The sequence below is a fragment of the Homo sapiens genome, chromosome 4, assembly GCF_000001405.40.
Source record: "Homo sapiens chromosome 4, GRCh38.p14 Primary Assembly".
NCBI classification, from domain to species: domain Eukaryota; kingdom Metazoa; phylum Chordata; class Mammalia; order Primates; family Hominidae; genus Homo; species Homo sapiens.
This window is the reverse complement of record NC_000004.12, coordinates 121,328,361-121,356,006: the sequence shown is the minus strand read 5'-3', so window position 1 is coordinate 121,356,006 and position 27,646 is coordinate 121,328,361. Positions and strand designations below refer to the sequence as shown.

The following is a 27,646-nucleotide window of genomic DNA, read 5'->3' as shown; positions in this document are numbered from 1 at the left end:
ATGGAACACTCTCTAGGCTATGACATATGTTGGGCCACAACACAAGTCTCAAAATTTTTTTGAAAAATGAAATTATATCAAGTATCTTCTCTGACCACCATGGAATAAAACTAGAAATCAATAACAAGAGGAACATTAGAAACTATAAAAACACGTGGAAATTAAACAGTATGCCCCTCAATGACCAATGCATCAATAAAGAAATTTTTAAGTTTTTTTTAAAATTTCTTAAAACAAATAAAAATGGAAACACAACATACCAAAACCTACGGGATATATCAAAAGTAGTGTTAAGGGAGAAATTTAAAGTAATAAAATCCTACATCAGAAAAGCAGAAAACCTTCAAATAAACAATCTAATAATGTATCTCAAAGAACTAGAAAGACAAGAACAAACCAAACCCCAAATTAGTAGAAGGTAGGAATAATAAAGATCAGAGCAGAAAAGAATGAAATTAAGACTTTTAAAAAACACAAAAGATCAATGAAAGGAAAAGTTGTTTTCTTGAACAGATAAACAAAGTCAACTAACCTTTAATCTGACTGAAAAAAGGAGAGTGACTCAAATAAAACAAGAGACAAAAAGGGAGACATTACAACTGATACCACAGAAATTCAGATGATCATTAGAGACTGTTATGAGAAACTGTATGACAATACATTAGAAGTCCTAGAAGAAATGGATAAATTCCTAGACACCTATAACCTATCAAGATAGAACCATGAAGAAATCCAAAAGCCGAATAGACCAGCAACAAATAATGAGACAAAAGCAGTAATAAAAGTCTTTCATCAAAGAAAAGTCTAGGACCTGATGGCTTTACTGCTGAATTCTACCAAACACTTAAAGAAGAACTAATACCAATTCTACTCAAATTGTTACAAAAAAATCAAAGCGGAAGGAATACTTCCAGACTCATACCACAAAGTCAGTATAACCCCAAAACAAAAACCAGGCAAAGACACAACGAAAAAAGAAAAACTACAGGCCAATATCCTTGATTAGCATAGATGCAAAAACCTCTAACAAAATACTAGAAAACCAAATTCAACAACACATTAAAAAGATGATTTATTATGATCAAGTGGGATTTATTTCTGGGATGCAAGGATAGTTCAACCTATGCGAATCAATCAGTGTGGTACATCATATCAACACTATGGAAGACAAAAACCATATGATCATTTCATATCATATGAAATTTTTTCATAGATACCAAAAAAGCATTTGATAAAATGCAATATCTTTCATGATAAAATCTCTCAAACAATTGGGTATAGAAGGAACATATTCAACATGATAGAAACCATGTATGACAAACTCACAACTAGTATCATACTGAATGGGGAAACTGAAAGCCTTTCCTCTAAGATCTGAAACAAGAAAAAGATGCTCATTTTCACCTCTTTTTTTCAACATAGAACTAGAAGTCCTAGACAGAGCAATTAGACAGGAGAAAGAAATAAATGACATCCAAATTGAAAAGGAAAAAGTCAAATTATCCTTGTTTGCAGATGATATGATCTGAAATTTAAAAAATATCTAAAGACTCCACCAAAAAACTATCAGAACCAAAGAAGTGAAAGATTTCTACAATGAAAACTATAAAAAGTTGGTGAAAGAAACTGAAGAGGACACACATAAAAAAATGGAAAATATGCCATGTTCATGGGTTGGAAGAATCAATACTATTAAGTGTTCATACTGCCCAAAGCAATATACAAATTAAATACAATCCTTCTCACAATATCAATGGCATTCTTCACAGAAATAGAAAAAACAATCCTAAAATTCATATGGAACCACAAAAGATCCAGAATAGCCAAAGCCATCCCGAGCAAAAAGAACAAAGGTGGAAAAACCGCACGATCTGACTTCGAATTATACTGCAAAACTATAGGAATCAAAACAGCAAGGTGTTAGCATGAAAAAGAGACACATAGACCAATTGAACTGAATAAAGAACCCGGGAATAAATTCATGCATTTGCAGTCACTTATTTTTGACAAAGGTACCAAGAACATATACTAGGGAAAGGACAGTCTCTTCAATAAGTGATGCTGGAAAACTGGTTATCAATATGCAGAAGAATGAAACTAGACCCCTATCTCTTGCCATTATACATCAATCAAAAATGGATTAAAAATGTAAATCTAAGACCTAAAACTGTAAAATAACTAGAATAAAACACTGGGTAAACAGTCCAGAACATTGATCTGGGCAAAGATTTCTTGAGTAAAACCTCAAAAGCACAGGCAACCAAAGCAAGAATGGACAAATGGGATCACATCAAGCTAAAAAGCTTGTGCACAGCAAAGGAAACGGTCAACAAAGTGAAAACGTAACCCACAAATGGGAGGAAATATTTGCAAAATACCCATCTGACAAAGGATTAGAAACTAGAATATAGAAGGAGCTCAAACAGTTTAATAGGAGATAAACAATCTGATTTAAAATGGGCAAAAGATCTGAATAGATATTTCTCAAAAGAAGACATGCAAGTGGCCAACAGTTATATGAAAAAAATGCTCAACATCACTAACATTGGAGAACCACAAATGAAAACCACAATGTGATAGAATCTTACCCCAGTTAAGATGGCTTTCATCCAAAAGAGAGGCAATAATAAATGCTGGCCAGGATGGGGAGAGAGCAGAAACCTCATACACTGTTGGTGGAAATGTAAATTAATATAGCTACTATGGAAAACAGTATGGAGGTTCTTCACAAAACTGACAATAAAACTACCATACAATCCAGCAGTCCCACTGCTGAGTATACATCCAAAAGAAAGGAAATCAATATATTGAAGAGATAGCTGCATTCCCATGTTTATTTCAGCACTCTTCACAATAGCCAAGATATGGAATCAACCTAAATATCCACCAATGGATGAATTGATAAAGAATATGTGGTACATGCACACAATGGAATATTATTCAGCCATAAAAAGAAATGAAGTTCTGTTATTCAGAACAGCATAGATGGAACTGGAGGACGTTATGTTGAGTGAAATGTGGCAGGCACAGAAAGACAAATGTCACGTGTTCTCACTCATATGTGGGAACGAAAGAAAAAAAATGAACTTTTGGAGATAGAGTAGAATGATAGTTACCAGAGAAAGGGTAGTGTGAAAGGGTAGTGAAGAGGGGATGGTTAAAGGATACAAAAACACAAATAGAATGAATAAAATGTAGTATTTGGTAGCACAATAGGGTGACTATGTTTAACAATAATTTATTGTATATTTTAAAATAACGAAAAGAGTGGAATTGGAATGTTCCTAACACAAAGAAATGATAAATGCTTGATGTGACGAATACCCCAGTGACCATGATTTGATCATTACATATTGTATGCCTGTATCAAAACATCACATGTACCTGGTAAATATGTATAACCATTATGTATTCATTATAATTAAAAATAACTTTTAAAAAATTAGGCCAGTGTTTTAACTTCAATTCCCCTTGCCAGTGATGATTTTTTAAATGAGCATGTAGTACATTCTTGCCATAAAGTCTGAGGTTTTCCTTACTTTTATGAAGGGCTTGAGAAAGTACATACTTCGTTTTCTGCTTTTGGTCTTTGAATCTTTTTTGAGATGCAGTGCTTGGAGATACTGCAGTCATCTTATTTGCCAAAGTGACAATCATAAGTACAAAGCAAACCACACTGAGGAGGATAAAGAAATCCAGTGGAAAGAACTCAGAACTGTAGTGAAGTCATTCAGCTGTGGCATTTATGACTCTGTTACTGCCCTACCTCTGAAATTATTTTTATGTTAGATAATACATTTCCCTTGTTGTTTAAACCAGTTGAATTGAATTTTTAACTCATAATCCAAAACATTCTAATGAATGTATAGAACAAATACATGTAAAGAAAACAAAAAATATTTATTCCAACCGCCAGAGAGAATTATGATGATCACATCAGTGCATTAAATTTAGTGTATTTAAGTTTTTCCCACATACATTTGTAGCAAAATAGAAACCTCTTAGTGTTTGTCTATGTCTGTACATGAATATATTATTTGTTTACTGTTTAATTTCATTTTTTGGTTGCATTGTTAAATATCTTTTGAAATATTATTAATGATTGAATGATTTGCATTATATTGGCATACCCCAATTTATTTAAACATTCTTTTTTTTTTTTTACATTACTTTATACTAACTCGGAGTTGTATCTTTGGTGAACAACTGAGTACATAAATTACATAAGTACTCCTAATATTTTATTAAGCATTTCTGAGGAAGTTCACTTTATGATGTGCTTTGTTGCCTGATTACCATCACATTCAAGAAATTCTTTCTAATGCCTAAAGTTTTTCCATTTCTTTCCTGGTATACAAAAATATTCCTTCCATTATTACTTCATGATGGGTTATTTTAACATTATAAACATAATGAAACCCCATTATTTCTGATTTCTGCTTTACTGTCCTAATGTTTAACCCAGGCTCATTTTATTCTATTATTTGAAAATCTAATTTTTGTCATTAGTGGAAAGTTTAAGCAACTCAGTTACCTTTCTAAAGCTGTATTTGTAGCTATTAAAATAATGAAAATTAGAAGAAACATACCAGTATAGACAAAATTGTGCACTAGGGAACTTGTTTTTGCTGCGAATATACACACAAACAGTTCTTACAAAGTAATTGAAGGAAGCACTCTGAAGAGAACTACAGAATTCATATGAGCTGTGGCTCCCACAAAGTAAAACCTAAAAGTCTGATATTTGTGAGACTCACAATATCAAGACCCACTCATCCTAAGTCAAAGTTTTCCAGGGGACAGCTCCTACCTGTACACGGAGCAGCTAGTGGTCTTTCAATCTGTCCCATTCTAAAATCTGAAAGGACAACCAAGGATTGTCAGACAGTTGAGGAAAGCTGTCTTTCCTTCTTTCTTTTATTGTACATGTGCAGGATGTGCAGGTTTGTTACACAGGTAAACGTATGCCATGGTGTTTTGCTGCACAGATCAACCCATCACCTAGGTATTAAGCCCAAGAATAAAGGAGAACAAAACAAACGAATAAATGAAACCTGGAAGAAATGGTTAATCATAGAAGGGAATTTGGAAATAAACTCTAATTAGTATTTTTATACATAAAAACATATCCATAAGAATGTCTCCTCATTTGACATTTTCCCAGTGGAATTAGTATTGGCTTATAAGTCTCAAACTTCTGCAATGAATATATCACTCAACAGCGACCTTTTAGCTGATATTTATATAAGAAAAGTTTATGTGCCCAAACTCAATAATCTAATATTATAAGAAAAATGATATATAGGAAAAGTATCAAGCTACCTTCCAAAAATAAAATACCTTCCAAATACATCAAAATCACAAGTAGTTGTTTTGAAAAGCATGTCCAGTGTTCACAAAGGGATGCATGTGCCGAATGTTGACACTAAGAGAGGCATCATATCATTTTATTCAATGTAAACCATTCTTTGTGATTGTTACTCTTGCAAAGAAGACTTGTTTTGAAAAGAGATTGAAAAAGATATTGATGGATTCTTTAAATGTCACGCTGAGAAATCAAGTACTAAACTTGTTCAGAATGTCAATCTGAAATAGTTGATCATAGTGATAACGGGGAGAGCCTTCAATCAAACCACCAGACACCGCTCGCTGAAAATAATATGGGGACTAAACAAATACAGTGAAGAATATTATCCTTGAACTTGGTGGACTGTGAGTGCCTGACTCTTCTAACACTGTGCCAAAAATTCTATAAACATAAACTTGAAGAGAGTTAAGTAAAGTTTGATTTTGTAGTTTTTCATCCTAAAATGACACCTGCATCCCCTGAAGATCCATTCATCATTTACAAGTCCCTACCCAATGAAAATGACAAAGAATCTCTGCCTGTTTCTTGCATGAAATTGCCCTTTTTGTCATCCAACTCACCTGTGATGTCACTTTCCATAGGCCTTGACAATAACTACATTTTAACCATCCTTCCCTTTCCACTTTCTTCAAGTTTCCAGTTTGCTTTTTTCTTCAGGAGTAACGGATCATCCCAGGTGATTGCCCTATTTTCATTGTAAATTTTACCTGCATTTTTCTATTGCATGTATAAATTGCTGTATGCTGATTGCTATGCCTTATTGGAGAAAAATATTTATGACGTACCATGAAAAATGGGCATGTTATTGATACAGAGTAGCATGCGTATGAACAATTTGATAACCATTCTAATTGTTTTGTAATCAGGGGCCAATATTTTAGGATTTTATATTTTAAATGCTGGCTTTCCTATGTTTTAGTTATACTTAATGAAATCTGGTAGATGTTTAATTTGGCCTTTTAAACAATAGGAAATCGGTGACGAGGGCACATTTCCACATAGAATATCTCATTTTCAGGAAGGGGTTTATGATATTAAATGGGGGGTATGTGTCTGGATTTAAGATGAGACTGACTTCATAAATCAAGAACAAGCTTCTCTGAAAAGAAATTATTTTAGGAGCAAGAAAAGCTTTTGAAAATAAAAATATTGCTGAAATTATATATAAATTAGAAGAGTTGGAAGACAAAAACAAGAACATCTCCATAATGTGGAGCAAATAGGCAAATCTGTATCTATATCTATATCTGTATATAAAAGGTATAAACATAGGAGGATCAATCCAGGAATTCCAATATCTGATCAACAGGAGTTATTTTTTAAAGGAACAAATTAAAACACAGAGGTAAAGGACTGAGAGTTGCCAAATGTAAAAGGCACACACAGGGCTATGGAAAAAGAGTAAAAAAAAGGACACATGTTTCAACACATCCCCATAACATTTCAGATTTCTAATTACAAAGAGATCAATAAAATCTTCCAAACAGTAACCAAGATAATTATTTTATTTTATTTTATTTTATTTTACTTTATTTTTTTGAGATGGAGTCTTCTTGCTCTGTCACCCAGGCTGGAGTGCAGTGGCGCGATCTTGGCTCACTGCAACCTCTGCCTCCCGGGTTCACGCCATTCTCCTGCCTCAGCCTCCCGAGTAGCTGGGACTACAGTCCCCTGCCACCACTCCTGGCTAATTTTTTGTATTTTTAGTAGAGATGGGCTTTCACCGTGTTAGCCAGGATGGTCTCAATCTCCTGACCTCATGATCAGCCCGCCTCGGCCTCCCAAAGTGCTGGGATTATAGGCATGAGCCATCGCACCCGGCCGTAACCAGGATATTTATAAGGGAGCAAAAATCAAGCTGACAATATAGACAGGTTAGCACCAACAGTGGATGCTAAAAGTCAATAAAGTAAGGTCTTCAACATTCTAAAGGCAGATGATGTTGAATTTAAGTCAAACTACAGCCATTTTAAGATATATAAGAATGTAAAGAGCTTACTTTCCTTATTATTTTGAAGAAGTTACTTGAAAAATATTATGCAAAATATAGGTAAAATACAAGAAATGAGAAGCCATGAAATTAAAGAAACCGGAGAAGAAATTGATTGAAAATGAATTTAATGATGACAGCTATAGAGCAGTCATTAAAAATAAAACAAAGCAAAACACAAACTGCAGTCATCAAAATTGGAAGTCAGTGGTCTTCTAGAAGGAAGTCTTAAAAGAACAAACACTTGAATTGATCCCAAGCAGAATATATGTGATGTTAAAAGTTGATATGTAATAGTAAAAATGATGATGATGATAATAAGAATAGCTAATGCATTTTCACATAGTACTAGACATTGGCCTAAACACAGTAGGCTTGTTTTCTCATTAATCCTTCAACAGTCCTATGAGGGAAGTACTGTTATTATCATCCACATTTTATAGATAAGAAAACCCAAGACACAGTGAAGTAAGATAATTTGCCTTAGGTCACAGTTAGCAAGTGATGGACCCATGATTCAAACTCAGACAGCCCAATTCTAGAGCCTATACTCTAAACTACTATACTGTGGTGAAGAAGATATATCTTCTTCTTCCAGCTAGAAAAAAGAAATACAACCCAAAATTCCAGGAAAAATTAAATAAAAATACTCTATAAAAAAGTTATATCCATATAAAAAGCAGATTAAAATAAGGTATGCTTTAGAGACATAAATATATTCACAAGGATCTTGACTATAAAGTCACTGAAAGGGAGATGTATTTAAAACATACACATTGGCTTTGTAGTTAATATTAGTCATGGTAAATAAAATGCTGTTTATGGTTTTAATCTTTTATAATTAAAAAGTAGGCCAAGGGAAGAATACTTAATATCCTGTGGAACAGAATGAAAAACTATCAGTCTTGACAGAGTAAATGTAAAGTTATAGATAAAAGACATTTGGAGAAAGAAGAATGCGAAAATAGGAGGAGAGAGGTACAGAGATGAGGTATCATCTCACAAGTGGGGGGCAAGATAAACTGTTGGAAGTTAATAGACTAATGGAGAGGGCGTTAATATATTACTTTAAGCGTCAAAGTAGAAGAAACTACATGCTAGAGTTTAAGAAATACATCCCCTAAAACCTTTCCAAATAAATTATTGAAGACAGTGTTATAACTGTAAGAAAATTAGAAGCTGTGGGAGAAGCAACAGTGGGAAATGACAAAAGTGAACCAATAGCCCATCTACCCAAGAAGGTAATCTATATCTATCATCTGAAATCAATAAATTAAAAGAAAAGCGGTATAAGGCAATTTATTTAGAGATGGTAGTGCCCCCAGCAGTAGAATTAAAAAAAAGTGGTTTATGGGAAATAGGCAGGCACCTATTCTTTTTTATTGTAGCCCTTCTGATTTTAAACCACATGCTCATAATTCTTTGATAAAAACATTTTTTAATGTAAGAAATAAAAAAGTTGAATTTATAATTGAAAAGCTCTCAAGAAAGAAATTTCCAAACCCAGGTGATTTCACTGGAGAATTTTGCCATTTAAAAAAGAATTAACACCAATTTTACACAAACTCTTCCAGAAAACAGAATTGGAAGAAATAGTTCCCAACTTACTTTATGAGGCCTTCATTACCCTGACACTTAAACCAGAGAAAGACAGTTCAATAGAAAGAAAGTTGCAAACGAATAGCTCTTATGAACATGGGCACACAAAATATCAATATAATACCAGACAGAATCCAACAATGTATAAAAAGGATTATACATCATGATGAAGTAGGATTTATTCCAGGTATGCAAGGCTGGCTCAAATTCCAAAATCAGTGTAATCTACCATATCCATCAAGCTAAAGAAGAAAAAAATCATATGATTACACCAATTAAGAAAACACTTGACAAATTTCAACACCCATCCATGACAAAAATTCTCAGCAAGTTAGTAATACAGAGATTTCTGAATTTGATAAGAGCATTACAAGAAACCTACAGCTAACATCATATTTTACGGTGAAAGACGGAATGTTTTTCTTCTAAGATTGAGAACAAGTCAAAGATATCTGCTTCTCACCACTCTTATGCAAAATTGCACTCAAAGTAAAACCACTAAGAGAAACAAGGACAATAAGTGACCATATGCAGATTGTAAAGGAAGAAATACAAGTGTATTTGCAGATGACATTATTTTCTATGTAGAAAATTCCAAAGAAGCTACAAAAACACCTAGAGGTAATAAGTGAGTTCAGCAAGGTCACAGCATATAAGATAAAGACACAATCACGTTTCTATATATTAATGATACAGGAAGAGGGGCAGGGAAGTGCTGGGAAGAGAAGGACATGGTCCCTGGCTAGAGCTCCACCCCCAGGTCTGTGCCTATGGACCCTACAGGTTGTATTGGGACAAGGGCGCATAGACTGTTTGAATATGATTTGTTTATTTGGCACATGAAATTAAGGTAATTACATGCCAGATTGTTTTATAATCTGTTAGACCATTATTTCAAATAGTGGTTGCATCAAGTAAACTTTCCTTTATGAAACTGCAATGTGTCTATTCACATTGTTTTTCAACAACCTTGGAACAAATTATTCACAGAGTAATTATTATCATTAGATACTTTCATGCAATTATACCTCATTATACTATTTTCTAAATTAATAATGTTTTAAATCTTCTCTACGGTTAAAGACTCAGGTTTTTTTCATTCTGTCCTTTCCATTCAGATCCTTTTAAAAGTCCCTGTTACACACTAAAGTGAATACGAACACTGCCCAAACTGTTTTCAATTTTCAAGCATCATGTTTAGAAATAATGTAGTCTTGTTTCTCTTTGAATTAAGACTTGCTCTGTGTGGTGGTGGCTGAGTGGATAGGAGAGTGAACACTGTTCTCAGTGAGAGCAAAAGGTCCATGTTTTGGGCAATAGAGTTGTATAAATGATTTAAGTTGAGAATGGAAGGCAGTAGATATTAAACCAAAGCAATTGTTCCTAATCCAGTAGGCAAAATAAAATAATTGTAGCTTCTATCCCAAGAGTCAGACATAGTAGAAATGGAAGCAGCAGTGGAGGCAAACTATAGTAGTAGGACTGGGGACTGTCTAATCTTATAGTTAACAGTACACACAGAGAGAACATAGCCCATAGTACACTACATTTTTAAAAAACCTACCTTCCAGAGAATAAGGTAGCAAAAGAGAAGTATATCAAATAAGTCTACTTCGTTGCAAGCAACAGTTGACAGCTAAGTAACTTAAGAGAAGAGAATGTATTGGAAGGATGTTGAAGGCTCACAGGATCAGCGTGAAGCTGAAGAAATGGACCTACAACAGAAAGCGACCAAGGGAGCTCAGAGGTCAGCAGCCATAACTCAGCAGTGACCTATTAGCACTTATGATCTGGTGAGCACGTGACCACACCATCCCAAACCTCTCTTCCATCTGCATTCAACCTTTCAACACTAGAGAGGATCTCACCTATTACTGCTTTGTCCTCCTAAGTAGGAGTTCTTACCTAACCTGCCCACAGTGGGGAAGAGTTAATATTCTAAAAAGAAATTGTGTTGCCATTTGGAGAAGTGAGGTGGATGCTGGAAAATCAAAATATGAGAAATACACATTCCAGGCCGACTTTAAGAAGCACAACTGTGATACTAACATCTAATTATCCTGTAAGGAAAAAAGAGAAGGATATCCCAAGTAAACAGTTCCTATGCAGGGAATGTAGGATTATCCCAGTTTAAAATTACCAGATTTATGGGAAGAAATGTCACAAAAGACACATTCTTACAAATAATTTAGACCCATACAATTCACATTGGGAAAGATAAAGGGTAGAATAAGCTGACTGAAGAGCTAACAGAGAGATTACCAGAACAAGAAGCTGAAAAAGAAAGGGAGAGTTGATGATAGGCTTAATGAAGGGCAGAGGAAAACCAGAAGTCTTCAGTGTTTATTTTGTTTTAGTCGTCTAGACCTTGAAAAGTGCTCTCTCAATTAAAAAGGGCAAAGATGGTTAGAGTGAAAATAAATATCCACGATAAGTAAGTAGATAGCAAAAGAGCATGTACCTATTTTTAAAAGAACTCAAATCTACATCCTAGATAAATTACATGACAGAACATTGAAGAAACTGGGAAATGTGATCAAGGAAACACTCTCAGTAATTTCTTAGAGAGCTGGTTGGAGAAATGTCAGAAGTAATGAATAGGGCAAATGCTGTTCTGAATTTATTAAAACAGTAAGATGACAGATTATACTATAGCTTGGTGTGAAATTCACAGGTGGGTTATTAAACAGATGATTTATGAGCAGGTAGACAAGAAAACTGCCACATAGCATGGGCACAGTAAGATAAGTGAGGGTGACGTAATGGAAGGAACTGGAGTCTGACAACCTGGACTCATTCTGTCAATAAATAGCTGTGTGGACCTGAGCACATCATTTAACCTCTTTGAACTGCAGTGTCTTTCTCTGGGAAATAAGGTTATTAGATTAGGTGTTCTTTAATGGTCAGTTTATCCACAAAGAACATGTCAGCCCCAAGTGCATCATATTTACCTTAATTCTTTTAATAGGGCTGCCTAATGATGAAAGAGCTGCCATTTATTAAAGAATGTATCCAGTATTAGCTGTTTATGTCACTTTATGAAATACATCAGTCCTATGACAGATGGGTATTATTAATCCCTTTTTTCAAATAATGAAATTGAGGCTCAGAGTGGCTAAGAAATCAGATAAAGCAGAATCAGAGTGTATACTGATATCAATGAATCAATTGACAGATACCCTGTGCTGTAATACACAAACTGAATATATTCAGGATGGATAACACTATAATGAGATAACACTAAAATGAATACAGCAAAAATTTTCTTTTGTTTGGATAGTTGTATTTAAAATATATTTCCTTTCAACCAAATTATTTATAAAATGTTAAAAAGTACAAGGTTCTTCTCAATAGAAAAAGTTCTGATTAAATTTGCAAGAAAAGAGAAAAAAAACCTAGGATAAATATGCAGATTAATAATTTATACCCATATTCATTTATTCAAGTACCACATCCAAACCAGGACTTGAGGTAAACTGATTTATTCACAGTATAGTAACTATTCAAACACAGTGGACTTTATTAACATTGAAAGTAAATTCCCACCGTTGGCATCTAAACCATCTTTCTAAATAAAAGACGGCCTTAAGTTTGAACAGGATTTTGTTTTGGGAAATTGTAACAAGGAATAGAAGTGAGTGGGATTGGTTCTTGGGTTGCCATTTGGAGCCCCCAAAAAGGATTGGGAAGGGAGTATCTAGAGTGATATCTAAGTACATTTTTCCCCTTAGGGATAGGATAGGTGATAAGGGAGTCTTGGGTTAACAAAATGTCTATTAAAGTGATCCAGTTCATTTCAAGTTGATTTCAAGTTCAACGGAAGCCAGCCATTTGAAAAGTCTAGCACAGAAGGCTGATGTAAACATCAGTTTCAGTTACAGAAGAGGGTGTTCAGACTTGGGGAGCCGATACAGTCCCACAGTTTCTGCCTTGGCCAAGCCATATCCTGAACATTGGTGAGTTCCCTTCTGCCTGGTGCATGGCCATGGTCCATGGGCGTTCCCTTCTCCATTCACCTTTTTGAAAGTTCTGAAAAGCATAGCAAATGAGAAACAGCTGCGACAACTAGGAAAGACAGGAGTGACATGAAGGCTTCTGTCAAATACATGTGGAGCCACTGTTTGGAAAAGATAGTTGGTTAGTTCTGAGACTCTGAGAACAAAGCTAGGAATGAGTGGAATTTAAAAGCACTTTTTCCAATTAGGGCCTCTCTAAAATAGAATGGGATGCCTTTAGGAGTGATGAGCCTCCTACTCATCTGTTCTTTTCAATTCAATGAATATTTATTAATGGCCTAACGTATTGCCATTCTTAAAGCTGGGAATACATCAGCGAAAAAAATAGACAAAAATTATTGCTCTGGCATCTATATTTTAGTAGGGGTAAATAAATAATAAAACAGTAATAAAATAATAAAAATAAAAAACAAATTAGCAGCATATATATTATATATCAGTATGTTAACATGTGAAAGAGAATGGGAAAAGAGTAGAATAAAAGAAATGAGGAATGAGAGGAGATAGGGAATGGGACAGGCTCAGTTACAAATATGATTGTTAGAGTAGGTCAGCCTCATTGAGAAGGTGACTGCATTAGTCAGGGTTCTACAGAGAAACAGAACCAATAAGATATTTTAGAGATATTTAGGAGAGATTAATTATGAGGGATTGGCTCACTCAACTGCAGACACTGGGAAGTTCCATGATCCACTATCTGCCACCTAGATGCCCAGGAAAGCCAGTGGTGGAGATCCAGTTCAAGCTTGCAGGCCTGAGAACCCAGGGAGTTGTTGGTGTAGGTCCCAGTCTGAGTCAGAAGGTGTGGGAACCAGGAGCATTGATGTCAAAGGGCAGGAGAAAGTGCAAGTTCCAGTTTCAGCAGAGAGCAAATTCACCCTTCCTGTGCCTTTGTGTTCTATTCGCGCCTTCAGTGGATTGGACGCTGCCCAACCACACTAGGAAGGAAGGATCTTCTCCTGTCTTCTACTGATTCAAATGCTCATCTCTTCTGGAAACACCCTCGCAGGCATATCCAGAAGTACATTTTGCTAGCTATCTGGGTATTCCTTAAGCCAGTCCACTGGACACATAGAGTTAACCATCACAGTGACATTTTAGCAGACTTCAGGGAAGGATGTGGGGTAGTGATCTCAGGGAAGAGCATTCCAAGGAGCAGAAAAAGCCATGAGAAGACCTGAAGCGGGGCTGTGAAAGCAAGGAGTATTCCCATGGAGTATTCCGTCTCTGAAATGCTTGAGACCAGAGGTGTTTCAGATTTCAGATTTTTTGGGATGTTGGAATATTTGTACAGACATAATGAGGTATCTTGGCAATGAGACCGAAGTCTACACATGAAATTCATTTATGCTTCTTATATACCTTACACACGTAGCCTTAAGGTAGTTATATACAATATATTAAATGATTTTGTGTGTTTTGACTGTGATTTGTCACATGAGGGAAGATGCGGAATTTTCTACTTGTGGCATCATATCAGCACTCAAAAAAGCTTTGGGTTTTAGATCATTTCAGATTTCAGGTTTTGGGATTAGAAATGTTCAACCTGTATTTAAGCAGAGCTTGGCAGAGCATTTCAGAGAGAAGTTGAAGAGAGAATTTCTGCTTTTGGTATAAACTAGAACTAGATAACCTCTGATGAGTCTTCCAACTTCACATTCCCTGAGTTTATGATCCTCTTGTAGCTGGGAATGATGAATTTGGTAGCAGCAAGCAGCATGGGTTCAAGACCAGAGGTGCCAGACCAAGACTCACAAATCCAAATGGTAAAGAGGCCAGACAGATAGTATAAACATTTTAAAAGATTGACAATACATTCAAATATTTTAAACTATTGTGTAACCAAATAAAGCATGTTTTCAGGCCAAAACTTGCCTAGTGGCCACCACTTTGAGACCGTTGCATTAGAGAAAGTAAAATCAGTTTGGTGTGTAATGGTGTAATACATATATAAAGTCTTAGGCAGGGAGTCAAAGGAGAATAAATGATAAAAGAAGAAATATGGGAGTCTTTGATGAGAACTATTCTTTGTTGTGATTTGCCAGGAAGCCAAAAGAAAAGAGACAATCAAAGATTACTTTGTAGTGTAGAGCCCAGGAGGCCAGTTTACAATGACTTTGCTCTTCCCCAAGCAAAAGTCATATTGCTTTTTTTCCACTGTTTCTATGGCTAGATACTGATTTGTCCTTTCATTGTCTTATTATACATAATTGCATAGCATTTAGGAACATAAAGTTCAGTTAGAGGGAGAAAGATAAACCAATGCAATGTTTTTCAATTATTTTGTGTCTACAGAGTAATTACAATTATCAAACTTTTTGGCAGAGGCTCAGAATGGACTGATAGTGATAATTACAAAGACACAGATGAAACCTTTATTCTTTTTGTTTTGATGTATGATTTGTCCTATTTCCTTACTGCAGGTGCTTTCATTTGCAAGATGGTGCCATTTGTCCAGTCTACCGCTGTTGTGACAGAAATCCTCACTATGACCTGCATTGCTGTGGAAAGGCACCAGGGACTTGTGCATCCTTTTAAAATGAAGTGGCAATACACCAACCGAAGGGCTTTCACAATGCTAGGTGAGGCCACTGGATGTGCCAATGGCAGTGTGAATGACATTCTTCATTACAGAATAGAGAACCATATTTTTAAACTAGAAGAGTAGCTTCTTATCTAACTTGTAGGCATTGGAATATAATTTGAGAGTTTCAGTGCTTTCCCTGTTTGCCTTCATCTCCACACCATCTCTCTTTTAGGCTGACCTCAAAACTGAAAATGTATCATTTTGGGTATACTTTTTCAGTTTACATCTTAAACGTTTAAGCACTATGTTCAGCTAATCTAAGATAACCTACCAGTGGCATTGCCACATTAACACTCATTAGATTGAGAACTATCTTTTTTTTTTTTTTTTTTTTTTTTGAGACAGAGTGTCAACTACATTGCCCAGGCTGGTCTCAAAAGTCTGGGCTGTGATTACAGGCATGAGCCACTATGCCCAGCTGGGAATTATCATCTTGAGATAAGAAGACTCCAAGCCAAGCTAACAAGGGCAGGTCGATTTTTTTTTCTTTTTTAGATAGGGTCTCATTCTGTAGCCCAGGCTGGAGTGCAGTGGTGTGATCACAACTCACTGCAGCCTCAGCCTCCCAAGCTCAAATGATCCTCCCACCTCAGCCTCCCAAGTAGCTGGGACCACATGTGCCCACCACCACACCCAGCTAATTTTTTTTATTTTTGGTAGCAACAGGGTCTCTCTATGTTTCTCAGGCTGGTCTTGAACTCCTGGGCTCAAGCCATTCCCCCTTGGCCTCTCCTTGTACTCCTTGGCCTCCCAACATGCTAGGATTACCGGTGTGAGCCACTGCACCTGGCCAGGCAGGTTGATAATGATAGGGAGCAGGAAATGTGGTTTTAGAAAAGTGGAGAACAGGGTTGCTGCCCTTGTGGTGAGTACACAAGGGTAGAAAGTGACAGGGTACATGAGAACAGTGGGTTCTGAGTGCTGGGGATGCCTGGCAAAGGCACATTCCACCCACTTCATACTTTTCCTTTAGGCATTTCTGGATCGTCAGCTTGCTGTAATTGTTCCTGAGTCAGCAAGTCACAATGAACACATACCTCATGATAAATGGTAAATTTGAAGCAATGCCCTAAAGTCTAACACAGTAAAATGGAAGCATTTCTCTATTCAGTAATTATAATTGAGCCATTTAAAACCTTAGTGTGCTTCACAGTAGTTTGAATTTAATATAGCAAATAATCAGAGGTGTAGCAAGCAACTAATGTGATAATCAAATAAAGCAATTTTTACTAATATCTCACTTGAGAAGAATGAGTAAACATTTATTTCTGCTGTAAGAATTTAGCCAGTATTGGGCTGTGGAATTGCAGAAAGAACCCCTGCAGGCTTTGCAATGCCAAAGTCATTTTAAATAGCTTGAAAATAATAGCTGAATCATTAGGGGAGAAAGGTGTTAGTTTTAGTTAGTTAGTTTTAATTTTATGTCATATCTTTCCTACTAAGAATTCAGAGATTTCTGGGCTTTTAATAATTGACATCTTTCCAACATCAGAACTCCTGAAAACAGCATGTGGGGATGGAAAGCAAGTAAGGAAAGGATTACATGGAGGAGGGGAGTTATTTAAAAGGAAAGAGAAGTAGCGCGAGTGACAACATCTCAAAGCATAGTTGATAATAGGCAGTCAAGGCAGTTCCTACTCAAAAGAGACATAGGAAACAAGAAGGTTTTAAAATCAACTAGACTCATCTCGCCATGGGGGCTTTTGTGAACTGTGGTCTAATGTCTCCTGTAGCTTTGTCACACTGTCATTCAGCCTTGTCAGTCAGTGTTTGTCAGTCACGCCCCATTCCTCCTTCCAGCTGAGATTGCCTAGACCTAGACAGGGGATGTCAAATCTTTTCGCTTCCCTGGGCCATATTGGAAGAAGAAGAATTGCCTTGGGCTACGCATAAAATACACTAACACTAACGATTGCTGATGACTTAAAAAATATATCGCAAAAAAATCTCATAATATTTTTTAAAAGTTTACAAATTTGTGTTGGGCCACATCCGAAGCCTTCCTAGGCCACATGCAGATTGGACAAGCTTGGCCTAGGTCCTCTAGGCTTTCTTGCCCAGATGTGGTCACTGTGTCAGTATTGTTCATCCAACTCTAGCCCTTCTATCTCAGAACCATCCAGGGATCCAGGAAGGTAGTCAATGAGCTATGAAAATTAGACTCAATTCCTCCAGAATTTGTACTAAAGCCCAGAAAAATGATTGGACATAAGATAACTATATGTGATTAAAATAGAACAGATGTGTATGGTAATAGGGAGGCAGAAAAGAGAAAGAGAAAGAGCGAGTGAGAAATAGAGACAGCCAGACAGACAGACTTGTGAGTCCTACAGCTGCCAGGTATCATTGGATCATGATGAATTTTTATAGGCAGCACCAAATTATGTGTTTCTTTATAATAAACCCCAATTATGGCTTAATTGAGTCATTGAAACCCAAAGCAATAAACTGTTTTCTTAATGTTCCACCCAATATAGAAAGAACAAGCAGAGTTCGAGCTGGAAACTTTTCCCCCAAATCAAAGTTGGGGCCCTTGGTTCCGTCCTCTTCCATGTCTGTTAAAACACACGGGTTGAAATTGTTCTTGGTAGTTAATCCCTGTTTTTCTTTTCTAAGAGTACATCATTAAAGCAATCCCTCTCAACAAGTTCGTGGAAGACAGGAAATTTGGAAAGAGCATTTTGGTTTCTGAAGTTATCAGTGTTTGTTTTCTTTTTTTTTTATTATTATACTTTAAGTTTTAGGGTACATGTGCACAACGTACAGGTTTGTTACATATGTATACATGTGATGCCCATGTTATGGTGCTTAAGATAAATGTACATTTGATTTTAAAAAGAGGTGACAGAGAGTGGTCTATGTCATGTTTAAAAGTTATTCATCCATTCCACCAACATGGATCAGCTCCTACAGAGGGCCAGGAATTTTCCTAGGACTCTTATTTGAGGAAACACAAAAATAAATGGCATTGTGTTTGCTTTCAAGGAGTTTGGAGGAAATTGAGAAGTGAGTAAGGGCAACGAAGACACTGCACTAGAGGGCATGTAGAGACAACAAGGAATTAGTAGTCAGTTTATTTGGAAATAGTAGTGACCTTCAAAGTTTCCCTAGAGAAGGTGATTTCTGAGTCAAGTCCTGGAAAATGAGTCCACAGATAGACACTGGGGATAGGGTGGCCAGGGAGTGGCGCAGTGCATTCTGGGATACGGAAACTGAAACCAGCACTGCAGGCTCCTCAGTAGAGGACTGCGGTGTGAAGAGCATGGACAGAAATGAAAGAGGAGAGAGAGGCAATTGAGATGGTAGAGAACCTCATGGGCCATGCTAAGGAAACTGGGTTTTATCTTGTAGGCAGTGAAACACTATTAAATGTTTAAAACTTGTTTTAGGAAGTTTATTCCAGCAGCAGTTTTGAGGATGGTGAAAGAGTGGAAGCATGAAACTTGGGGGAGACCATGGCACTGCCCTAGGGCAGAGAACAGCTGCCCTCTCATAGGGAATCTTGAGGGTTAGATAATTATGCATGGATGTGTTTTACTCAACTGAGTCATACTCTCATGACTTTAACACTTTTACAGGTGTGGTCTGGCTGGTGGCAGTCATCGTAGGATCACCCATGTGGCACGTGCAACAACTTGAGGTAGACTCCAGTTGAGATGTATAATCATATTGTTGAACTATTTTCTCACCCCTCTTAATTGTAATTATTTTCCTTCCTGCAGGAGCAATACAGCAAATTTGTATGACCTCAGCTATTCCACTGGAGGTCTTTTAAGTGGAATAAAATGATTTTTTAAGGTTCATTTTCTCTGTTTTATCTAGCTCTTCCTGATACATTGTTAGGACTCTAATGCTTAAAATACAATTTTTCAAAAATACACAGGTCAGTTTCTACATTTTCCTGCAAGCTGAGTATGCTTTTCCCAGTGTCCCTAAATGTTTTCTTACATTTTAAGAGTTGAATGATTGCTCTAGGTTTTTCTTTTATTTTTAAGTCACGTAAAAAAAATTGTAATAAATTATCTACTTAGTTGACTCTCAGAAGTCCTTTCTTACCTGCCTCCTATTCATTGACACATTGAAATTCTAACTGGAAACATATCAGGAGATCATCTTAATCAACCTCTCTCCTTTCCCCACACCTTTGTCAGACAGGCCCAGCCATGTGTGGGGCTTCACAGGAAGGAGAGTGCTGAGTTGGTTTCAGACAGCCCAGCCTGTCTGTTAGGGTGGACTTTAACATGTCTTGCATAGGTGATCTACCCAGACAGGAGTTTTCAAAGACGGTAGGGGGTTGCTTACATACCCCCTAAGATAAGTTTTAAATGATTTATCCCGTTCTACCTTTTAAAGTAGAGATAGGCAAATGTGAAACTTTACTGTCCATGTCATGTCATCCTCAAGGATAACAAATGAGCCTAAGATAAGAGAACATTAAAAAAGTAACCTGATTTTTTTCATGTAACTAATTTGTTGAATGAGCTGGACTCCATAGGTGAGAGCAGAAAGTAATTTTATTTTATCCCTTGCTACCTGGAAAAATGCATCTAAGGACTTTTTTAGTCCTCTTGGTGAAATATCATGAATGAAAAAATCTTGAGCAACTCTTCCAGTCAGATAATAAAATTTCTCTGGTTACTTTCACTCAGAAGAATAGTGTGAGTTCTGTTATTAAACTGTCCTGTCCAGTAATACAATTACATAAATCATACTCTTATTTAATCAATTTATAATTTTTCCCTTCCCTCAGTGTGAATAGTTTTCAGGCCTAGAAATGTGAAGGAGTTATGGTCAGTTTCTTCTCTGTTTCCTCTCCTTGTGTTTCTTTTTCTCTCCCCTGCCCCACTCCTCTCCCCGCCCCACCCCCCACCCCCCATACAATTGGCTGCCTCTCTCTCATCAGAAGCTGATGAGGAAAATGGGGAGAGGAAGCGGGCAGATGTCACTGGAATCAATGCCCTCTAGGTGTGACAGTATTGCCTGTGACTGATTGTTTGCTTCAGGACTTCTCAAAGATAACAGCACTGAGACCTCCAGCGGGCTGGCAAGGGATCATGCCAGCTCCTGTCTGAGGATGCTGCCCTTATCTCCAATGGGAAGCCCAGACTGGTGGAGCCTTTTCATAATGATTCACTCTAGTTCTAAATTGTGTGGTCCATTTCTAGCCCATAGAAAACAAACAGATGTATCCATTTTTAAATAAAACAAAAACATTTTGTTTTATTTAATATAGAAAAAGTGTTTTTATATGTTTAAAAAATACCCTAAATATTTTTTAAATACATAATTAATTGTGTTTGTAGAAAATGCATGTCATGTCATTGGCAAAGCCAGTCCTCACTGTCAAATAGATGAGTCTAGTCAAAGTTGCTTCCTGTCAGGAAAACATCTGATTAAACAAATGTATTAATATGCATCCCATGGCTACCTTCTCACTCCTAAATTCTATTAGGACAAGCAAAGACTTCCTGAGGCCATGCTCAGATGGTTTTATGGAAAATTTCAGATCTTCACTCTTCGATTTCAGATTTTCTATTCCCAAATGTACGCTTCTCGAAAATTCCACTGCCTAATATCGTCCTGAGCTTGCAGTGAGTGTGAACTTATCACAGGGATGATACAAAGCACCCTGCCTTCAGCATTTCTCACTGCCGCTCTCTGCTTCACTTGTACTGGGGTCTCTCTCATGAGTGATGTATTTATCAATTTTCAAGTGATAGAAGCAACGAGACGGTTAAAATTGTCATTGCTCCTGCCTCCTTACTGTATGAAAAATGTGAATTCACAACTTCTCAACACCTGTCAAATACCTTTTTTTCTCTGCCAGGCTTTACCCTGAATAGAAATATATTTAAGAGAGAGAAGAGCACAAAGCCCTGCCATGTGTTTATGATGCCTTGATCAATGTGGCTTCACTGACATCAGTCATTGAATTATGTCTTGTTTTGGTGCCCCGTGGTAAGATTCATTATGGGTGAGAGATGTGATTTCTGTAACTTGGGAAAAGGGTGATTATGAAACAGGAAGTGGGAATTTAGACCCAGCGTGACACTTCAAACTTGGGGACGATATTAGGCAGTGGAATTTTAGAGAAGTGTATGTTTGGAAATAGAAGATCTGAAATTGAAGATCAAAGATCTGAAATTTTCCATAAAACCATCTGAGCATACCCTCAGGAAGTCTTTGCTGAAGTCCACAGTCAGGACTTTGCTGAAGTCAGGAAGTCCGTAGTCCCTAGGGCTATGTGAACCTGATCCAAGACTTCCAGTTCAGCATGCTCTTAGATGTGTCAGTCCATACCCCCTGGTCATTGGCCTTTGCATGCTTTGCTTCCATGGAGTTGGAATGAATTTCATTTTAACATCCTATTTCCAGAGAGTTTGAATCTTGAGATTATTTTTCAGTGAGTGTTATTCCTAGTTGCATCTGTAAGTAACACCTAGGTCAGAACTTGAATTTTCTTACCTTTGATGAGTAACCAAAAAGTTGCTGTCCCTCATTCAATTCACATTGAAGACTGGTGATAAAATTTCCTGGGAATGTAGGCAGAAATATGTCTGAGACCCAAGTATTCAGCTCCACAGTAACTAAAATAACAATGGTTTTGATAAATATTCTCGTTTTTATTCCTATTACCCAAAAAAGTGACTTCTGAATATGCTTTAAATATTTAGTTTGTTCTTGAACTAGCCCTTAAAGCACTCTCTATTATTTATTATTGTTGTTAATAATACTTTTGAGCTTATAAGATGAGTCTACCAGAAATAGTACGAATAAACCAGCAGGTACAATCTGAATATTTGTATATTGGCAATAGTTTGAATCCCAATTTCTCATTCATCTCAGGATAAAAGCTGCCAGTTGCCTCTTTAATATCTTTCTAAGCAATCTGATCATTGCAATATATGAAGTAGCAGTAACAAAACGCAGCTTTCAGTACTTTTCAATTGAAAGATGTCTCATGCCTTGTCAAAAATCTGTCTCAACAATTGAAGAAGCAAAATAATTTAATATTAGACTACCTAGCATGTATTGCAAAATATTTTTCAGTATATACTTTGGCAAATATAGTGCTCTTTCAGTCGATTGAAAACTTGTGACTAGTGGAAATAGAAGTTGAGAAAGACAATAAATGAAAGTAAACAGGCTATGGACCTGAATTCCATTTAGAATAGAAAAGCTGGTATAAAACTCTTAAGAACTTAAGCAGTGAAGTGGAAAAACTATGCTTCACAACAAAAGAACAATTAAAAATGTATCTCATTTGAAATACGTGCTGGGGACAAATTTGAAAGAACTTAAAAAATGTTGTGTTGCAATAATACTTGGCTGATTTCTGTTTTTTGATGCTGACTACTGGTTCTTTTAATGAATTATTCTTATTATGAAGATCAAATATGACTTCCTATATGAAAAGGAACACATCTGCTGCTTAGAAGAGTGGACCAGCCCTGTGCACCAGAAGATCTACACCACCTTCATCCTTGTCATCCTCTTCCTCCTGCCTCTTATGGTGATGCTTATTCTGTACAGTAAAATTGGTTATGAACTTTGGATAAAGAAAAGAGTTGGGGATGGTTCAGTGCTTCGAACTATTCATGGAAAAGAAATGTCCAAAATAGCCAGGTCTGTTTAATGAAATATTCACCTCTTTAAATTATTTTTAATTAATTGTGCTGGAAGGGATGGTTGCCAGGGCTCTCAGAACCTCTAGGTAATTTAGTCTAAGCATCCTTTGCAATTCAAATTTAGGGCATGGACTGATTTTAAACTCTTGAAGTTTTACATGTGTCTGAAAGAAACAACAAGACTACCAGCTCGCAAATCAACTGGGAAGTTACAGCTATAGGTAGAAACTGACTTGGAATTTAGAACATACATGATGTGGTAGGAAGACTGTGGGCTGGTGTCAGAACCCTGTGGTCCTATGGGTACTCTCTCTATCACTCACCAGCCACAAGATATACATCAGTCTCACTCCCAAGGCCCTGCTTCCCGCATATGTACAAGGAGCATAATAACATCCATCCTTAGTTAATCCCACCCAAGGATAATGCTAAAAGACATGAGATTGATCTGTATGAAAATCCTTTGGAAACCGAAGCATGCTATTTATTTTAAATTATTATTATTGAGTTATTTTTACCTAAGGGCTTTGCTTTCTGAATTTATTCATTAATAGAAATTTTAAAACATGACTTACTGCTATGATACTTGTAGTCCATATCATTTATTTAATAACCTACACTGAATGACTATTAGAAACAAAGCAAAAAAAAGCCTTAAATGGAGGAGTCTGGTGATTTGGTGGGATTTTATCATCTCTCCAAGTGTGCAGTGATCTCTAGTGCTCTAGTGCTCAGTTTGAATAAAGAAACCCTTCTTGTCAATGTACAGGGGCTCCTAGACTGTCCGCACCTTGGGACCTATCGTTAAGTTGGTTCCTCCCACTTACTTGAAAGAAAGAGCTGCCATGTTGAAATAAGAGATAATGGACCAGGTGCAGCGGCTCACGCCTGTAATCATAGCAATTTGGGGGGCCGAGGTGGGTGGATCACTTGAGGTCAGGAGTTCGAGACCAGCCTGACCGACATGGTGAAACTCTGTCTCTACTAAAAATACAAAAATTAGCCAGGCGTGGTCGTGGGTGCCTGTAATCCCAGCTACTTGGGAGGCTGAGGCAGGAGAATTGCTTGAACCTGATGGACTGAGGTTGCAGTGAGCCGAGATCACGCCACTGCACTCTAGTCTGGGTGACAGAGCAAGACTCCATCTCCATAATAATAACAATAATAATAATAATAATAATAATAATAATAATAATGAGATAATGAGTATGAGTTTTTATAAACTTAAAGCACCATGCAAATGTGTAGAGCTCTTGCAGATGTAAATCCTCTTTACAGAAGTCATGGAGAAAATTAGTTTGAAGCCCTGGTTAATCATGTTTTTAAGATATATCAGGCCGGGTGTGGTGGCTCACACCTGGAATCCCAGCACTTTGGGAGGCTGAAGTTGGAAGATTGCTTGAGCCCAGGAGTTTGAAACCAGCCTGGGCAACAAAGTGAGACCCCGTCTCTACAAAAAATTTAAAAATTAGCTGGGTGTAGTGGCATGCACCTGTGGTCCCAGCTACGTGGAGGCTGAGGTGGGAGGATCACTTATTGAGCCCAGGTTGAGGCTTCAGTGAGCCATGATTGCACCACTCCTCTACAGCCTGGGCAACCGAGTAAGACCTTGTCTCAAAAAAAAAAAAAAAAAAAAAAAAAAACCCAAGATATATCGTATAGATATCCATTTAAATTATATCCCTGGAACTTCCCATATTTCATAATTTTTTTTTGGTAGAGATGCGTTTTTGCCATGTTGCCTAGGCTGGTGTTGAACTTCTGGACTCACTAAATTCTCCTGCCCTGTCCTCCCAAAGAGCTGGGATTACAGGCGTGAGTCACTGCACCTGGCCCATATTTTATAAATATTGATATTTTACTACCACAGGCATGAATGCTCTTTAATATAAAGTGAGTAAGAGCTTCATATTGAAGTCACAGAAGTTAGACTTCCTAAATTCACATCCAAGATACAGCCTTTACTAGCCATCTAACTTCGCAAATTAATTAACCTTCTGTGTGTCTCAATTTCTGCATCTATCAAATGCCTTATTGGGTAAATTAATGACATTATCCATGTCATGCATCTAGCAGAGTGCCAGATCCATAATGAGCAGACATTCAAAGAACATTTATGATGTGAGGGTAATATCAATAGGAAAAGATGATAATCAGCCCACGAATAACCTATCGTGAGCTTAATTTAAAAATTATGTTTGAGTGAACTAAGCTCAGACTTTAATAGCTTTGCTATCAAGCTGGCACATTTGCCAAGGAGAAGTTAACTAATACAATGTTTCCTTGTGGGTTTAGGAAGAAGAAACGAGCTGTCATTATGATGGTGACAGTGGTGGCTCTCTTTGCTGTGTGCTGGGCACCATTCCATGTTGTCCATATGATGATTGAATACAGTGAGTGCTTGTCATTCTCATTTGATAGACATTCTCATTCATTTCCTGCTAGAATAGACAATGAATCTTTGAAATGTGTCGCTGTTCACTTGGATAATCAAATACCTAACATTTCATATATTTCTTTCATGTCTTCAAGATCACAAGGTCATTATGTGGTAGGTCATTGTGTATGACTATGACTAAATCTTTAATAATTACAGAAGATCAAAGCTTTGAGATTCCTCTCCCATGTTACTCCTTCTGTTCTCCCTAGGCTATTTAAACTTTGGGAAAGGAGTGACATCCTATTAGCATTTCCCATTTAGAACCCTGACTTGAACAGTCAGACCTGCAGTATATTCTTTCTGATAACCCAGGACTTACCATGGTTCTCAGTATGATTTTGTTTCTCTAAGGCAAGTGAACATTTGAAGGGTTACTGCTGCTTCCAGTTTACATGAAGCTTGGAGTTATCAAGCTGCAATGCTATAAGCCCCCTACTATATGCTGGACACCAGGCTACGCATGTAAACCTAGATTCTCTAAGTGAAGACTCATCACAAAGGTTGTTTTTATTCAGATATCAGATGCCTCTCCCAAAACGATCTTGAGAACTTTTCACACCTTCAGATACTTGTACAAGTTTAAGTCTTTGACAGGTGACAAACAGAAGTTTTATTTTATACTCCTTAAAATAAACGTACATTCTAAAATATTACTTTATTTCAGGTAATTTTGAAAAGGAATATGATGATGTCACAATCAAGATGATTTTTGCTATCGTGCAAATTATTGGATTTTCCAACTCCATCTGTAATCCCATTGTCTATGCATTTATGAATGAAAACTTCAAAAAAAATGTTTTGTCTGCAGTTTGTTATTGCATAGTAAATAAAACCTTCTCTCCAGCACAAAGGCATGGAAATTCAGGAATTACAATGATGCGGAAGAAAGCAAAGTTTTCCCTCAGAGAGAATCCAGTGGAGGAAACCAAAGGAGAAGCATTCAGTGATGGCAACATTGAAGTCAAATTGTGTGAACAGACAGAGGAGAAGAAAAAGCTCAAACGACATCTTGCTCTCTTTAGGTCTGAACTGGCTGAGAATTCTCCTTTAGACAGTGGGCATTAATTATAACAATATCTTCATAATTAATGCCCTTCAGATTGTAACCCAAAGAGAAAATTATTTTGAGCAAAGGTCAAATACTCTTTTTATTCTTAAGATGATGACAAGAAGAAAACAAATCATGTTTCCATTAAAAAATGACACGAGGCTAGTCCAAGTGCAGTGATGTTTACAACCAATTGATCACAATCATTTAACAGATTTCTGTGTTCCTTCTCATTCCCACTGCTTCACTTGACTAGCCTTAAAAAAGCAACATGGAAGGCCAGGCACGGTGGCTCATGCCTGTAATCCCAGCACTTTGGGAGGCCTAGACGGGCGGATCACGAGGTCAGGAGATCAAAACCATCCTGGCTAACACGGTGAAACCCCATCTCTGCTAAAAATACAAAAATTAGCCGGGCGTGGTGGCGGGCACCTGTAGTCCCAGCTACTTGGGAGCCTCAGGCGGGAGAATGGTGTGAACCCGGGAGGCGGAGCTTGCAGTGATCCGAGATCATGCCACTGCACTCCAGCCTGGGCGAAAGAGCGAGACTCCCCGTCTCAAAAAAAATTTTTTTGAAAAATTCGTAAACCATACTTTTAAGATTATTTCAGTGGATTTTTAAAAATCTTGTACAGAAATCAGGGTTCTTAGCTAGCAGTTTTTCTCCCACGCAGTCACTGTAATGTGACTATGTATTGCTAGATTGAATAAGAAAATAAAATAATATCTTCTTCCTTGAAAACTAAGTTAATACTTCAATGCTGTAATGTGATTTTTAGTGCACTGTTGAATTTAGGTAATACAGTCTCTTACACATGAGGTCTGTGCCACAATCATAAAGTCAAAGCAAAGGGAGAAGCAGCCAAGTGACGGATGAATGAGACTTAGAGGAAGATGCCTGTACTGGAGCTTTGTATGGTTCTGCCAGTTACCTTGCTGCCTTGTTGTATGACTGGCAAGTAACGTCGCC

The 27,646-nt window shown here is 37.0% G+C and overlaps 1 protein-coding gene across 2 annotated transcripts in view; it reads left to right on the top strand.

The window, feature by feature from the left end:
- QRFPR (pyroglutamylated RFamide peptide receptor) overlaps positions 1-27,365 on the top strand; it is a 52,377-nt gene extending 25,012 nt beyond the window's left edge. The window contains exons 2-6 of one of the 2 annotated variants that reach the window (NM_198179.3): positions 15,397-15,555; positions 19,139-19,200; positions 22,951-23,186; positions 25,484-25,581; positions 26,293-27,365. In NM_198179.3, coding sequence (NP_937822.2) covers positions 15,397-15,555; positions 19,139-19,200; positions 22,951-23,186; positions 25,484-25,581; positions 26,293-26,693 — 956 coding nt within the window. In that variant the 3' untranslated portion in view covers positions 26,694-27,365. The other variant, XM_017008693.3, reaches the window with a different exon arrangement.
- Positions 27,366-27,646: the final 281 nt, after the last annotated feature.